The sequence below is a fragment of the Homo sapiens genome, chromosome 3 (assembly GCF_000001405.40).
Source record: "Homo sapiens chromosome 3, GRCh38.p14 Primary Assembly".
Taxonomy (NCBI): Eukaryota; Metazoa; Chordata; class Mammalia; order Primates; family Hominidae; genus Homo; species Homo sapiens.
The window spans coordinates 75038613-75053465 of NC_000003.12; the positions used below are offsets into that span (position 1 = coordinate 75038613).

The following is a 14853-nucleotide window of genomic DNA, read 5'->3' on the forward strand; positions in this document are numbered from 1 at the left end:
ATGTGTCTTTATAGTAGAATGATTTGTATTTCTTTGGGTATATACCAAGTAATGGAATTGCTGGGTCAAATGGTGTTTCTGGTTCTAGATCTTTAAGGAATCGTCACACTGTCTTCCACAAAAGTTGAACTAATTTACATTCCCACCAACAGAGTAAAAGTTTTCCTATTTCTCCACAGTCTTGCCAACATCTATTGTTTTCTGACTTTTTAATAATGGCCATTCTGACTGGCATGAGATGGTATCTCATTGTGGTTTTGATTTGCATTTCTCTGATGATCAGAGATGTTGAGCTTTTTTTCATGTTTTTTGGCCATGTAAATGCCTTCTCTTGAGAAGTGTCTGCTCATATCCTCTGTCCATTTTGTGAGGAGGTTTTGTGTTTTTCTCTTGTAAATACGTTTAAATTCCTTTTAAATTCTGGATATTAGACCTTTGTCAGATGGGTAGATTGCAGAAATTTTCTCCCATTCTGTAGGTTGCATGTTCACTCTGATGATAGTTGCTTTTGCTGTGCAGAAGCTCTTTAGTTCAATTACATCCCATTTGTTAATTTTGGCTTTTGTTCCAATTGCTTTTGGTGTTTGCATCATGAAGTCTTTGCCAGTGCCTACATCCTGAATGGTATTGCCCAGATTTTCTTCTACAGTTTTTATGGTTTTGAGTTTTACATTTAAGTCTTTGCTCCATCTTGAGCTAATTTTTATATAAGGTGTAAGGAAGTGGTCCAGTTTCAGTTCTCTGCATATGGCTATCCAGTTTTCCCAGCACCATTAACTGAATAGGAGATCCTTTCCCCATTGCTTGCTTTTGTCAGGTTTGTTGAAGATTAGATGGTTGTAGATGTGTGGTGTTATTTCTGAGGTCTCTATTCTGCTCCATTGGTTTATATGTCTGTTTTGGTACCAGTACCATGCTGTTTTGGTTACTGTAGCCTTGTGAAACGCTACTGATTTTTGTACATTGACTTTGTATCCTGAGACTCCTGAAGTTGTTTATCAAATATAGGAAACTTTGTTGGAGTCTTTAGGGTTTTCTAGGTCTAGAATCATATTGTTAGTGAAAAGAGGTAATTTGACTTCCTCTTTTCCTATTTGGATACCTTACATTTCTTTCTTTTACTTGATTGTTCTGGCTAGGACTTCCAATACTATGTTGAATATGAGTGGTAAGAGTGAGCATCCTTCTCTTATTTCAGCTCTTTAGGGAAGTGCTTCCAACTTTTGCCTTTTCAGTATGATATTGACTGTGTGTTTGTCATAGATGGCTCTTATTATTTTGAGGTATGCTCTTTTGATACCTAGTTTGTTGGAGGTTTTTATCATTAAGTAATATTGGATTTTGTTGAATGCTTTTTCTATTTCTGTTGAGACGATCATAAGGTTTTTGTTTAAAATTCTGTTTATGTGGTGAAACACATTCATTGATTTGCATACGTTGAATCAATTTTGCATCCAGGGAATAAAGCCTACTTGATCATGGGGGATTAATTTTTGATGTCCTACTGGATTCGGTTTGCAGGTATTTTGGTGAGAATTTTTGAGACTATGTTCATCAGGGATATTGGCCTACAGTTTTCTTTTTTCATTGTGACTTTGCCAGATTTTGGTGTTAAGAAGATACTGCTTTTGTAGAATGAGTTGTAGGGGAATCACTTCTTTTCGATTTTTTGGAATAGTTTCAGGAGGATTGGAAAGACCTCTTCTCTGTACATCTGGTAGAATTTGACTGTGAATCCATCTGAGCTGGGGATTCTTTTGTTTGGTAGGCTTTTTGAATTACTGATTCAATTTCAGAACTTGTTTTTGGTCTGTTCAGAGTTTTGATTTCTTCCTGATTCAATCTTGGGAGGTTGTGTATTTCCAGGAATTTATACATTACCTCTAATTTTTCTAGTTTGTACAAATGAGTGTGTTCATAACATTTTCTGAGGATCTTTTGTATTTCTGTGGGATTGATTGTAATATCACCTTTGTCATTTATGATTGTGCTTATTTGGATCTTCTCTCTTTTTGTCTTTGTTAATCTAGTTAGTGCTCGATCAATCTTGTTTATCCTTTCAAAACACCAGTTTTTCATTTCATTGATTCCTTGTATGGTTTTTCAGGTCTCAATTTTGTCTAGTTCTGCTCTGATTTTAGTTATTCCTTTTCTTCTGCTATCTTTGGGATTTGTTTTTATTTTTCTAATTCCTTTGTTGAAATGGTAGATTGTTAATTTGAGCTCTTTATTTCTTCTTGATGTAGGTGTTTAATGCTAAAAACTTTCCTCTTAGCACTGCTTTTGCTGCATCCTGGAGATTTTCGTATGCTATGTCTCTGTTTTCATTTGTTTCAGTGAATTTTTTGATTTCTGCCTGATTCATTGTTAACCTAAAAGGCATTAAGGAGCACATTGTTTAGTTTTCATATAATTGTGTTGTTTCGAGAGTTCCTCTTGGTATTTATTTCTATTTTTATTGCATTGTCATCTGAGAGAGTTATTCATTGTATGATTTCACTTTTTTTAAAATTTATCAAGTTTTGCTTTATGACCCCACATGTGGTCAGTCTTAGAGTACATTCCATGTGCAGATGAGAAGAATGTATATTCTGTGGTTGTTGAGTGGAGTAATCAGTAGATGCTATTAAATCCAGTTTACCGAGTGTAGAATTTATATCCAGAATTTCTTTCTTAGTTTTCTGCTTTGATGATCTGTCTAATGCTGTCAGTGAGTTGTTGAAGTCCTCTACTATTATTGTGTGGCTAAGTCTTTTCCTAGGTCTAGAAGTACTTGTTTTATTAATCTGGATGCTCCATTGTTGGGTGTGTATATATTTAAGATAGTGAAGTCTTCTTGTTGAACTGAATGCTTTATCATTATGTAATGGCCTTATTTGTCTTTTTTAAAGTCTGTTTTATTCTGTGCAAGAATAATGATGCCTGTTTTTTTTTACTTTCCATGTTTGTGATAGATCTTTCTCCATTCCTTTATGTTGAACCTATGGGTGTCATTACAGGTGAGATGGGTCTCCTGAAGACAGCAGAAGGTTGAATCTTGTTGTTGTTGTTTTTGTTTTGTTTTTTTCAATCCAAGTGCCACTTTGTGTCCTTTAAGTGGAGGATTTAGACAGTTTACATGTTTACATTCAAGGTTAATACAAATATGTGAATTTTTGTTCCTTTTGCAGAGTTGTTGACTTGTTGCTTTTTAGTCTTGATTATGTAGTTGCTTTGTAGGGTCTGTGGTCAAAGTGCTTATGTGTGTTTTTGTGGTAGCAGATAGTATTCTTTTGTTTCCATGTTACAACTCCCTTAAGCTCTTGTAAGACCAGTCTAGTGGTAACAAATTCCTTTATTGATTGCTTATCTGGGAAAGATTTTATTTGTCCTTTGCTTATGATGTTTAGTTTAGCGATATATGAAATTCTTGGTTAGTATTTCTTTTCTTTAAGAATGCTAAAAATAGATCCGCACTCTTTTGTGTCTTGTAAGGTTTCTGCTGAGAAGTCCACTGTTAGCTTGATAGGGTTCCCTTTTCAGTGATATGGCTCTTTTGTCTAGCTGCCTTTAAGACTTTTTTCTTTCATGTTGACCTTGAAAAGTCTGTTGGCTAGGAACATTGGGGCTGGTCATTTCGTATAGCTTCTTACAAGGGTTCTCTGAATTTCTTGTATTTGCAGGGTGACCTTTCTAGAGGGATTGTGGAAATTTTTGTGGGCTATATCCTCAAATATGTTTTCCAAATTGCTTAGTCTCTCTTCTCTCTCAGGAATGCCAAAGAATTGTAGGTTTGGTTGTTTTACATAATCCCATATTTTTCAGAGGCTTTGTTCTTTTTTAATTTTTTTTTTTTTATATTTTTGACTGACTGGGTTGATTCGTAGGACTGGTCTTCAAGCTCTGAAATTCTTTCCTCTGCTTTGTCTACTCTATCGTTAAGCTTCCAATTGTATTTCAAAATTTTATTAGTAAATTTTTCAATTCTAGTAGTTCAGTTTGGTTCTTTCTTAATAAAGCTATTTAATCTTTCAAATGTCGTGTTGTTTTTCTGGCTTCCTTGGAGTGTATTTCAACTTTCTGTTGGATCTCGTTGAGTTTCCTTGCCATCCAGATTCTGAATTCTATGGCTGTCATTTCAGAATTTGAATCTGATTAGGAGCCTTTACTAAAGAACCAATACAAACATTTGTAGGTAATGAAATACCATGACTTTTTGAATTTCCAGAGTTCTTGCACTGATTCCTTCTTGTCTGAGGGAGCTAGTGCTTCTTTTACTTTTTGAATTTACTGTTGTTTGCATGAGGCTTTTTGTTTTTATATTCTTTTCTTCCCTAGAGGTTTTGGGTGTGGTGTATGTTGTGTATACTTGATTGGCTTTTTTTTCTGGGAACTGTCAGAAGGCCAAGGCTCAGTATGGGTTCCTTGGTTGTAGATTGGTTTTACAAGTGTTTGTTGAGGCAATGTATTTTTGTTTGGTAGTGAAACTCAGGTTGCAGTCCAGTAGATGGTGCTTAAGAGTAAGGGTAAACAGAGTGAGGCTCATACTCAGCATCCTGTGGTGGATTTGTATTTCAATGCCTCTGCAGCAGTGCTGTAGGGAGAGGAAGTGTGCAGCAAGAGATCACTCCCTTACCAAGTCCCTTCTTGGGCCTTGATGGTATCCCCTTCAACTACTGGTAGCACGCACATTTTCTTTTCCGCAAGGGGGGACATTGGGAGACTATGCTCCCTACTCCCTTAGGGGGCAGTCTGAGCTGAGGGTTAGGCCACCAGGATGCCTGCAATTCCCCAGGGACCTGCTGGTCCCCTGGGCTCACCAAAGTCAGCATGGGTTGTGGGGTATGTCTGTGGATGATCTAGTGATGAAGTGCATAAAGGGCAGAGGATCGTCAGGCAAGGCAGTGGTGCCATGAGTGTGTGATATGGTTTGGCTGTGTCCCCACCCAAAATCTCTTCTTGAATTGTAATCCCCATAGTCCCCATGTGTCATGGGAGGCACCCAGTAGGAAGTGATTGGATCATGGAGGCAGTTTCCCCCATACTGTTCTCATGATAGTGAGTTCTCACAAGATCTGATGGTTTTATAAGCATCTGGCATTTCCACTGCCTGCACGCACTCTGTGAAGAAGGTGCCTGCTTCTCCTTTGCCTTCCACATTGATTGTAAGTTTTCTGAGGCTTCCCCAGCAATGCAAAACTGTGAGTCAGTTGAACCTTTCTCCTTTATAAATTACCCAGTCTCAGGTATTTCTTCATAGGAGTGTGAGAATAATCCAATACAGTGTGCAACCATATGGGGCCCACATTCTGGGGTTTTTCAGCCCAGCAGATTGCTGTGGAGCTCTCCCAGCTCATGATCCCCCAGCCCGGCAGGTCTTCCTCTGGTGTCCTCCTTGATAGCAGACCCGACCAGTTAGGCTTCTCCCAAGCCATTTTCACCCAAATTGTTGAGCCACTGCAGATGTTTCAGACCACAGGGCTCACTGGGGGAAAAATCACAGCTGGCTATAAGGTCACATCCTTCCTAGAAATGTCTTGTGAAGAGAGGACACCCATCTCCTGTGCCATCACATGAACCTGTGCCACACTCTTCCTTGTATTCTGAGATTGGGGGCTCCTACCCTGCTAGAGCTCAGGCCACAGATCCCAGCTTCATACCCTTGAGTGGTGTCTGTGAGTCCTGGTTAGTTGGGACCAGGCCTGCAGATCTGTTCTCTGGCCCCTCAAGGTCAAGCACTGGCTGTTGAACTGCTCCCAGTCAAGCACTGGGGTAGTGAACTGCTCCGAGGCAACCAGCAAAACACTCAGATGGCTCAGTGGAGGCTGTGCTGTAGGCACCCTCCCACAAAGAGGAGCAGGCAGGCAAGGGAACATCTACATCTGGATTGGATGCACCCCAGTCCTGTGGCAATGGCAGCCATGGTCTCTCCTGGCCTGGCAGACAGCAGAAGCTGCAGCCACTTCGTGCAAGATGGACAGCCTTGGGGAATGGGTACCTAAGATTATGTCTTTCTGTAGCTGTACCATGTAGCAAAATCTTTTGGGGTCTGCGCTGGTTTGAGCTGTGTCTTTGTCTGTTCTCTAGGCAACTCCTCCTGCCAGTTCAAAGGCTTGAGGGGCCTGGGAATTCCTGTAGGCAGGATCCCAGAAGTCCACAATGGGAGTGGTACCCTGGAGTTCCTTCTCTCAACCCTATCTTGGATCCAGTGCAGGACTGGGGTCAGTCTTGGCATCCAGCAGCTCTGAGTAGGCTTCCCAGCTTCTTCCTCCTCCAGCTACAGTGTCTGTGTTGCCTCTCTATTGATTTTCAGTACTTTCTCTTAAAAGATTGGTTTGAAGTGTAACAGTTTACTCGATATTTTTATTCCTCTCCATGGCAGAGGCATTTTCTGGCTGTGTCTAATCAGCCATTTTGCCTGGAATCTTGTATTTCATTTTGAAGTGAGCAATAACAGGATTGCAGTATGTTTTGTTCAAATTTAGCAATTTTTTTCCCTTTTCTTTCTTCTTAGTATTTTATTAGTTCTTCAGATATGTCTCTTTGTAAGTTTTTTAAACATTAGAATAATACAGAGGCTAATCTTCAATGAATAGACATTTTATTTATGTATTAGCATCACTAGATTTCTGTGTTTTTAATAAGGATTTTTACAACTTCCAGAAAAAATAAATATTAGATTAGTTGTTACATGAGGTCACGTATTCAATATAAAAAAGGCTTATTTTGTTGCATTTACATTTTAAACCTTGGAAATAGAGTGGTTAAAAAACAGTCCAGTTTTTGCATAAGCTTGAAGACTCATGATGCAAGACAAACTTTCTATCAGGTTAATCTTTTATAGAGTCAGTTTGGTATTCTATTTGCATCTCTTCAGAATCTATTATGGATATAGAAGAATTTACCCATTCTTTCATGGAATTCATGTCATACAATAACTTGCAGTTGGTTGTGGAAGCTCAAAAGTTTCAAACCTAGATGGAGATTGTTAACCTTTGCCAAACTTATTTTCTTGGGGGCAGGAGAGAATTAAGATGAGCTTTGTGCATGTTTTTTTTTCTCCTCTCCTCTCCTACCCTAGTGATGAGGGCGAGGGGAAGGGATTGAAGAAGTGATTTCCAAGCCAGTGACTAGAGAAAATATCTCTACAAACTGAATGTCACATATAATCTGCCAACCCACATATCATCATCGCTCGGGTTATGGGAAGAGTATAATTGATTTTAACAGGATCTAAGGCTTTAATCATGTTACTGACAACCACAGGTTTCACAGATTGCATAATACATTGTGATCATGATGGTTGACTTATAATGACAAGGTTCTAGAACATCTATATATATATGAAATTTTAAGTAACATTATTTGATAATCCAATGCACAGCTGTTGATATTAATTTCATTCAGTCCCTTCTTTTTCAAACCAATCCAATTATTTTGGTATTGTTACAGCCCATGGACCCACGCGTGTTTACTTTCTCAGTGACTTGATTGAGTGAATATGAGAAGAGCGGGTTATAAAAGTTTTGTTACTTTTGCTACTCAAAGGGTGGGCCATGGACCAGCAGCATCAGTAATACTGATGCTGAAGTGCAGTAGCCTAGGCTGTGCCCCAAGTGTACTAAATTAGAATCCTAACTTAACAGAATCTACAAAAAATTCTCATTCACTTTAAAGTTAGAAAAATACTAAAATAGAGCAGTAGGTCTTAGCTTCAGCTATAAATTATAATCACCTGGGAAAATTTTAATAATTATGTCTGTGCCTCACTTCTGACCATTTAAATGGAATTCTCTGAGGTGGGGGTCTGGGCATTGTTAAGCTAACTATTAATAAATATAGCCTGAGAAGGACTCCATATTTCTATGTTTGAGTCCTTGTGGACAAACTGCAACCTAACTTAATAGGTAAAAAGATTGAAGTATTTAACTGTAACAATAGCTGAGTCTTGGCCAATCCCAGCAGCCGTACTTCAAACACTCATTTACTGCTGAGTGTTCAAACTGTGTTCAAATAAGGTAAGTACTGAGCTGTGACCAATCCAGTTGTTTTTGTGCCTCACTTCCAATTTCTGTACATCACTTTCCTTTTTATGTCTATAATCTTCTTCAACCATGTGGCTGTGCTGGATCTGCTGTGATTCTGGGGGCTGCGTGATTCACTCAATTAAACTTCCTTAAATTTAATTCAGCTGAAGTTTTTCTTTTAACAACATCAAATTAAAAAAAAAAACTCTCTGTATAATTTAAATGCACAGCAAAGAGCGAAAGCTACTGTACCTAAACAAATGGCTTTCTCTGTTAAATATTTATTGCAGCTCTATTGTATGCCAGTCACTCCCAAGAGGGATACTGCAATGAATACGGAACACAGAGCTTCTGGCCTCATGGAACTTACAGTCTAATGAGGCATAAGCTATTACACAGCAACAAAGAAAACAATAAAATTATTTGATGACTTCATATTATTATGAGTGGTATGTAAACTCGGGGGGAAACACTTAAGACTAAGAAAGTTACTACTGTGTACATAGTGAAGAATGGGAATGGAGCAGGAGGATGTTGGCAATTTTGGAAGATTGTAAGTCTGGGAAAGGAACACTGGAAATAGTTCAGTACGTAGTACCCTGCTCAAGGGACTCAAGCTCAGTGTGTACACCCCACTGAATGTGTCGTATAGCCAACCTAGTGAGGGGCTACATGCACCTAGGGTGTGTTAGAGGGAACTCTTCCTAATTAATCTTTCCTGAAAATGTATCTTCTGTTAAATTCATCAGGCTGGAGGTCAGCATTATTTCCTAATTTGCATTAAGGCATTGTACAAATCTGCAATAGCTCTACTCCCAAACTTCTCTGGTCCTTCCTCCCAAACTATTTCTTGTTGGGGCCAAGAGATATTATAGCAATAGTGTAGTACTTGGGTATAAAGCTGTGCAAGATGAGGGTGAGCAGAACTTTTTAAAGAACCTTCAACACCTGGTCGAAGTTTTAGATTTACCCTAAGGGCAAGAGAAAACCATTGATTCACCCTTTACATTCCAATTAAACTCTGATTTACATTCTCAAAGACCTGACAGACCTGTTGAGATTGGATTAGAGTAGGTTGAAGTGGTAAATTGAATAGATGAGGAAAACTTGTAAAAAGTCAATTACAATAATTCAAGGGAGAGAGGATGATATCCTGGCCTAGAGCAGTCATAGGAGATACAGTAGGAATTCAAGATACAGCTTTAAACAGGGTGAGGTCTTATCTAAACAAATCAAGAACTCCTTACTGAAATTCATCAACCTCCAATACTAGTGGAATCTGAGGCCAGAAATATGAATCCAAAATTCAGGAGGAATAAAAATTTGAAAATAGTTTTGGCCTCACTGGAAAGTCTGAGCAAGAAAACTTCTCAATATATGTTAATTCCCACTTTTCCCTTAGGAAATATTACCACACACGACGAGCTTTTCTTTTGTTTTCTTTTTAAATCATTACTTGGATTGGTACTTTCAGACTTTTCTTAGGAAACTGTATATGGATATGAGAGGGCCAAAATGTAAGACATTGCTTACTCCCTTCACTGGTCAGTGTAGTACAGTGAGTAAGGAAAAGGTGTGTGATGAGGTTAGACAAGATTTTAAAGAGCCTGGACACCTTGTTAAGGGAAGCTATTGTATAATTTGGGAGAAGATGGGGCCCATCATGAGTATGCTATCCAGGCAACCCATGAAACACAGAAGGAGCCGTACCAGGGGTCTCCATTTCTGATGGGAATAGAACTTCTCTCATTAATTTTCTCTTACATCCTGAAATTAAGGCACTAATTAAACAATACTGTCTGCAAAGATGTAAATGTTACAGTCTCACCAAGGCACCAAAATGTTACAGTCTCACCATTGCATCACAATATAGCAGTCGCTCATTGTTTGAGGTATCACCTGGAGTTCTTTGTCCCATGGCCATGAAAATTAAGGAGCATGGACACCAAGAGTGAGGTTGGAGTGAAAGTTTAATAAGCAAAAGAAGAAAGTTCACCACCATGGAGAAGGGGCCCAAAAGAGAGTTGCCATTTTTACAGTTGAATACAAGGGCCTTTATAAGAAAACCGTGAGGGCTGAGTGTCTCATTTCTATAAGGCGCAGATTTCTAGTAGCTCCACCATGTGCTCCTAATGTGCGTGACAGCCCTTAGGTTAGGCTATTCCATACTGCTTTGTTCCCCTTACTGCACATGTGTCAGGGGATGGAATTTTCTATTGCAGGCATGTCTGGGCAAGTTACTTGGGTAGGCCTTTCTTATTTGTGTGGCTGTGGGCATGTCTTAGGCAGGCCCTCCTGTGCAAGTTCCCTTATCTATGCCTGCAGCTTGATTTTTCTTTTGTTTGAAAGAATTCAACCAAGGACCCACTCTAACTGTCTCCCTGACTGGTTTCTTCCTTTCTTCTCTCATAAAGAAACATATTGTCCTTTTTTCCTCTCCACTTTTCCCTACTGCCAAGGAAATTTTTATAACCTCATCCATGTTTTCGTTCTTCTCTTTATCCACAAGCACATAAATATCAATATCAACTTAATGTCTACCTTTTCCTTTTTTAGGTTCCTCATTCTCCATATAAATAATTTTCTAATCAAAAAGTAAGTTGCTTATACCAACTAAGGACTTTGTTTTTCAAAATTACAGTAGAACATGTATACTAAATTAAATCATGGCTGAACATTTTTCTGTCGTTTATACATTTCTTTGTCCCTGGAAGTCCCAAGGAAATGAAATCGAATACTTATTTCCCATTTAATATTTCTTTGCTTCTCAGTCCCTTGAAGAGTGAACTGAATTTTATTGTAAACATGATAATTACCGTGAGAATTAGAATTTTTAAAGGAAATCTCTGTGGTTTTAACTCATGGTATAAATTACTACTATAACATTCCATATTAAAAATCAACATTTACACATAGAATTAAAAACTCCTGTGGGATTATTCTGCTGAAAAGGCAAACAGATGATCGTTCAAGCAAAACTGAAGCATGAAGTGTGGACAATATATTTTCAAGTTGGATATAAAAAGACCAGTTGGCAGTTGCTTTGAAAGTACGGACATCATCATAAGAGAGTGAAACATTGTTCCCTGTCATAGCGTAATGTCAGATTTCAAACAGGCCTTCCCAGTTGCTTTACTGTTTTTTCAATCTCCACTTCACCACATTTAAGCCTCATGGGTGAGAACTTAGTCATCTGTAAACTTGTGAAATACTTCAAGTGTAGTTTTATCTTCACTGTGAATAAAAAGAATAGGGGAATTTCGAGTTTGAAGTTTTAAGGTAATTTAGAAAATACATATCTTTCCAAGGCCCGTAGTGTAAAATAGGGTGGGTACATGGTTTGGGATGACAGAAAGAGCTTTATTACCTGGATGTGCTCAGAAAATATATCATGACAGTTGATTTGTTGCTGCTGTTCTTTCCTTCTTTTTATTTCTTCACAATAATACAGTTGTCTTGGTTACAGTGCTTTTTGTTTCTAGCAAAACTTACTGCTTGAAAGAGAAATGAAAGGGAGTGGTGCACAAACTGATAAAACTTTGGTTAATGGACTTTTAAGAGAGATAAGTAACACAATCTCTCATGTATGTATAGCAGGGAAGATAGGCTTTGAAGATATAAAGACCTGAGTTCAGGTCTTTTTCTAGCTACCATTTTTTTTTTCTTTCCAACTTTTATTTTAGGTTTGGGAGTACGTGTGCAGGTTTGTCACATGTAAATTGCATGTCATGGCAATTTGATATACACATTATCTGTCACCCAGGTAATAAGCATAAATTCATGAAGTCAGAAACAGAGTCTCACTATGTTGCCCAGGCTGGTCTCCAACTCCTGGGCTCAAGTGATCTTCCTGCCTTGGCCTCCCAAAATGCTGGGATTACTGGCATGAACCACTACACATAACCTATAGCTACTATTTTTTAAAATCCAGGCCATGTCAACTTCTCTTTACTCCAGTGGTCTCATTTGTTCAATAAGAATAATATGATCATTGAAATGTCTAGATTTCATAATATGCAGCTGTTTGTCTCTATATTTACACACATAAAAAGCTCAGAAAGTAGATAAACTATGCATCCATTAAATTAAAAATTACTCTGTGCTAAAAAGAAATGAGCTATCAAGCCATAAACAGATATAGAGGAAACTTAAATGCATATTACTAAGTGAAACAAGTCAATCTGAAAAGGTTACATACTGTTTGATTCTAACTATATGACATTCTGGAAAAGGCGGGAAGACAACAAAAAGATTAGTAGTTGCCAGGGACTGAGGGGAGGGCGAGATGAGTAGGCAAGATTACAGAGATTCTTAGGACAGAGAAAATACCCTGTATTGGACTATTATGATAGATACATGTCATTATAGATTTGTCTACCCCGTAAAATGTACAACACCGAGAGTAAACCCCAATGTAAACTATGGGCTTTGGATGATAATGATGTGTGAATATAGGTTCAATTGTATCAAATACACCACTCTGGTTCAGAATGTTGATAGTAAAGGAGGTTGTGCATGTGTGGGGAGAGTGGATACAAGGGGACCCTCTGTATTTTCCATTCAATTTTGCTGTGAACCTAAAACTACTCTATAAGTGACTTTTATTAACCTTAAAAAAGTTCAAAAAGGCAACCAGCACATAATAAGCACTAACATCTATTTGCTATTATTGCTATTAGACATGTGTGGATTTAAGTTGGTAAACATAATCTCCATTGAAGAATGTAGCAAATAATAGAAAGATAGTTTGTATTCTTTATTTATGGTTTTTTTGAAAGAGACACAGAAAGGAGGGAACGGAAAATGAGCAATGAGGGAATGAGAGAGGGAAAGAAAGAGGGAGAAAGAGATAGAAATTGGTTTACCCCATGCTTCACTTCTCTGAATTTAGAAAATTCTTCAACTTCGATCCTTTTATGCTGACGGTAATGTAGGTAACAGTCAGTTGAGTAAATTGCCTTCATCTGTAGTGTCGGGCCTGTTCTCTTTCCAAAACTATGCCCCAAATTTAAAGTCTGGAGTCTCTGACTCTGTTTCTTAGTTTTCTTGTTGCTGCTCATGTTGCCTTCATTGTCTTGAATGTGGAATCCCTATATTTCTGTCTGACTTCCACAGACCTCTCTTACCTTCTTTGTCCTTACAGCTTTAGAGCAAATCTTTCAAATGTTAACTTCCTGGAAAAGGTTAGGTACTGAACACTGGTAGGTAATTGGTCCTTTGGGCAGATTAAGTCTATACAGGGTAAAGGGAATGATAGAAGAAAACTCCTCTCATTGAGTTAAAGAGGACAAAATGGGGGCAATGGATGGAAGAGATTTCTTCTTACTTATTATCTATATCATGTGGAAGGAAGTTAGAAAATATCTGAATGATGGTTAATATAAAATACTTCCATGAATGTCAAAAATCATTTACTTTCAAAGTTGCCTTGGGACTAGAATACAATTTAAAAATTTAAACATCTCTTATTCTTTCTTAAGTTTCTAAATGTGTCTTTATTACCATTATTATCTGAAGTAAGACTGCTCCAATTAGAACAAATATTTATTTAAAAATTACTACCTGCAAGGTTTCATGCTTTGTACTGTTGGTCTTGTGTAGAGACACAGGACATAACTACTATGATAATTCCCATTTGGCAGATGTAAAAATTGAGTTTAGAGGTAAAATAACTGATCTGAAGCCTCTCAATAATTACATGGTGGTACCAGGATACAGACTCAAATTCTAACTGCAAAGAGAGCCTCTTAATCATACTGTCACACTTTCCCACTGGGGACTTTGAAGAAATTGTTCTAAATTTTAGACAAGAGGGGTAAAAAGGACTTATATAACAACTTGATTCATCAAAATGAAGAGTAACTCTAGCCAGCAACGTTTCCTTTGAAAAACTACCAGGAAATTGACAAGTATCAATTCAATACCTTGTTAACAGTTCCCATGTAATATCACCGCTTGACATGATATTGACTTGCTTTTTATCATGTTTGAGCTCCAACTGAGAGTTTTGAAATGTTGAAATAACATCATCATATGGATAATTACTAGATGTGCTATTTTTGCAACTGTTTTGAAGATAAATAATTAGATGCAATGTACCACTTACTTGTTTTATTTGTCTTTGATCTTGCTTTGTAGGTCTTATAAAAAATTAAATGAAAATGCACTGTTAAAAACCCACAGAACAGATCATAAGTTTTCAACAAATAAATATTCAGGGGAGTGCCTTTGACGTATATCCCTGAATTAGAGAAAATAATCGTTGGACAATACCATAGTGCTTAAGAATGTGGGGACTTAGACCAGATTGCCTCTCCTTTTATCGATACTCTTTGTAAGATAATTTTTGTTGTCCCTCCCATCAAAAGGTAGGGTCTGTTTCTCCATCCATTGAACCTGGGCTGGCCTTGTGATTGGCTTTGTCAAAAGGAAAGTTGTGACACTCTGGTCTTCCATGCTTCCTCTTATTCTTTCAGTAACCTACCCCTGCAGCCATGAGAACAAGCCTGGGCTACCTTGCTAAAGGGTGAGACCTCATGTGGAGCAAAAAAGAGCCATCCTAACAGAACTTTCTTAGACAGGTGAGCTCCCAGCTCACTTGGCAGTTGACCATAGAGACATGAGGGAAACCAACAAAAATTAGCCAAACCTGATTAAAAGAATCATTGAGCTGAGCCCAGCCCAAATGGACAACCCACAGCATCATGAAGTAAATAAATGGTTATTATTTTATGCCTTTAAGATTTGAGTGGGGTGGGGGATAGTTGTTTCTTAGCAAACTGGATACATCTGGGTTCAACTCCCAGTTCCAACACTTATTGCATGTGTGAAGACAGGCTGTTTAATT

At 38.0% G+C, this 14853-nt stretch overlaps 1 annotated feature.

The window, feature by feature from the left end:
* Window positions 9808-11007: an enhancer, noted in NCBI's record as "P300/CBP strongly-dependent group 1 enhancer chr3:75097571-75098770 (GRCh37/hg19 assembly coordinates)". NCBI's record gives its function as "activates an origin of replication core promoter dependent on BRD2, BRD4, P300/CBP, MED14 and CDK7 cofactors, with strong dependence on P300/CBP, by STARR-seq in HCT116 cells {active_cell/tissue: HCT116}" and the evidence as "EXISTENCE:reporter gene assay evidence [ECO:0000049][PMID:35650434]".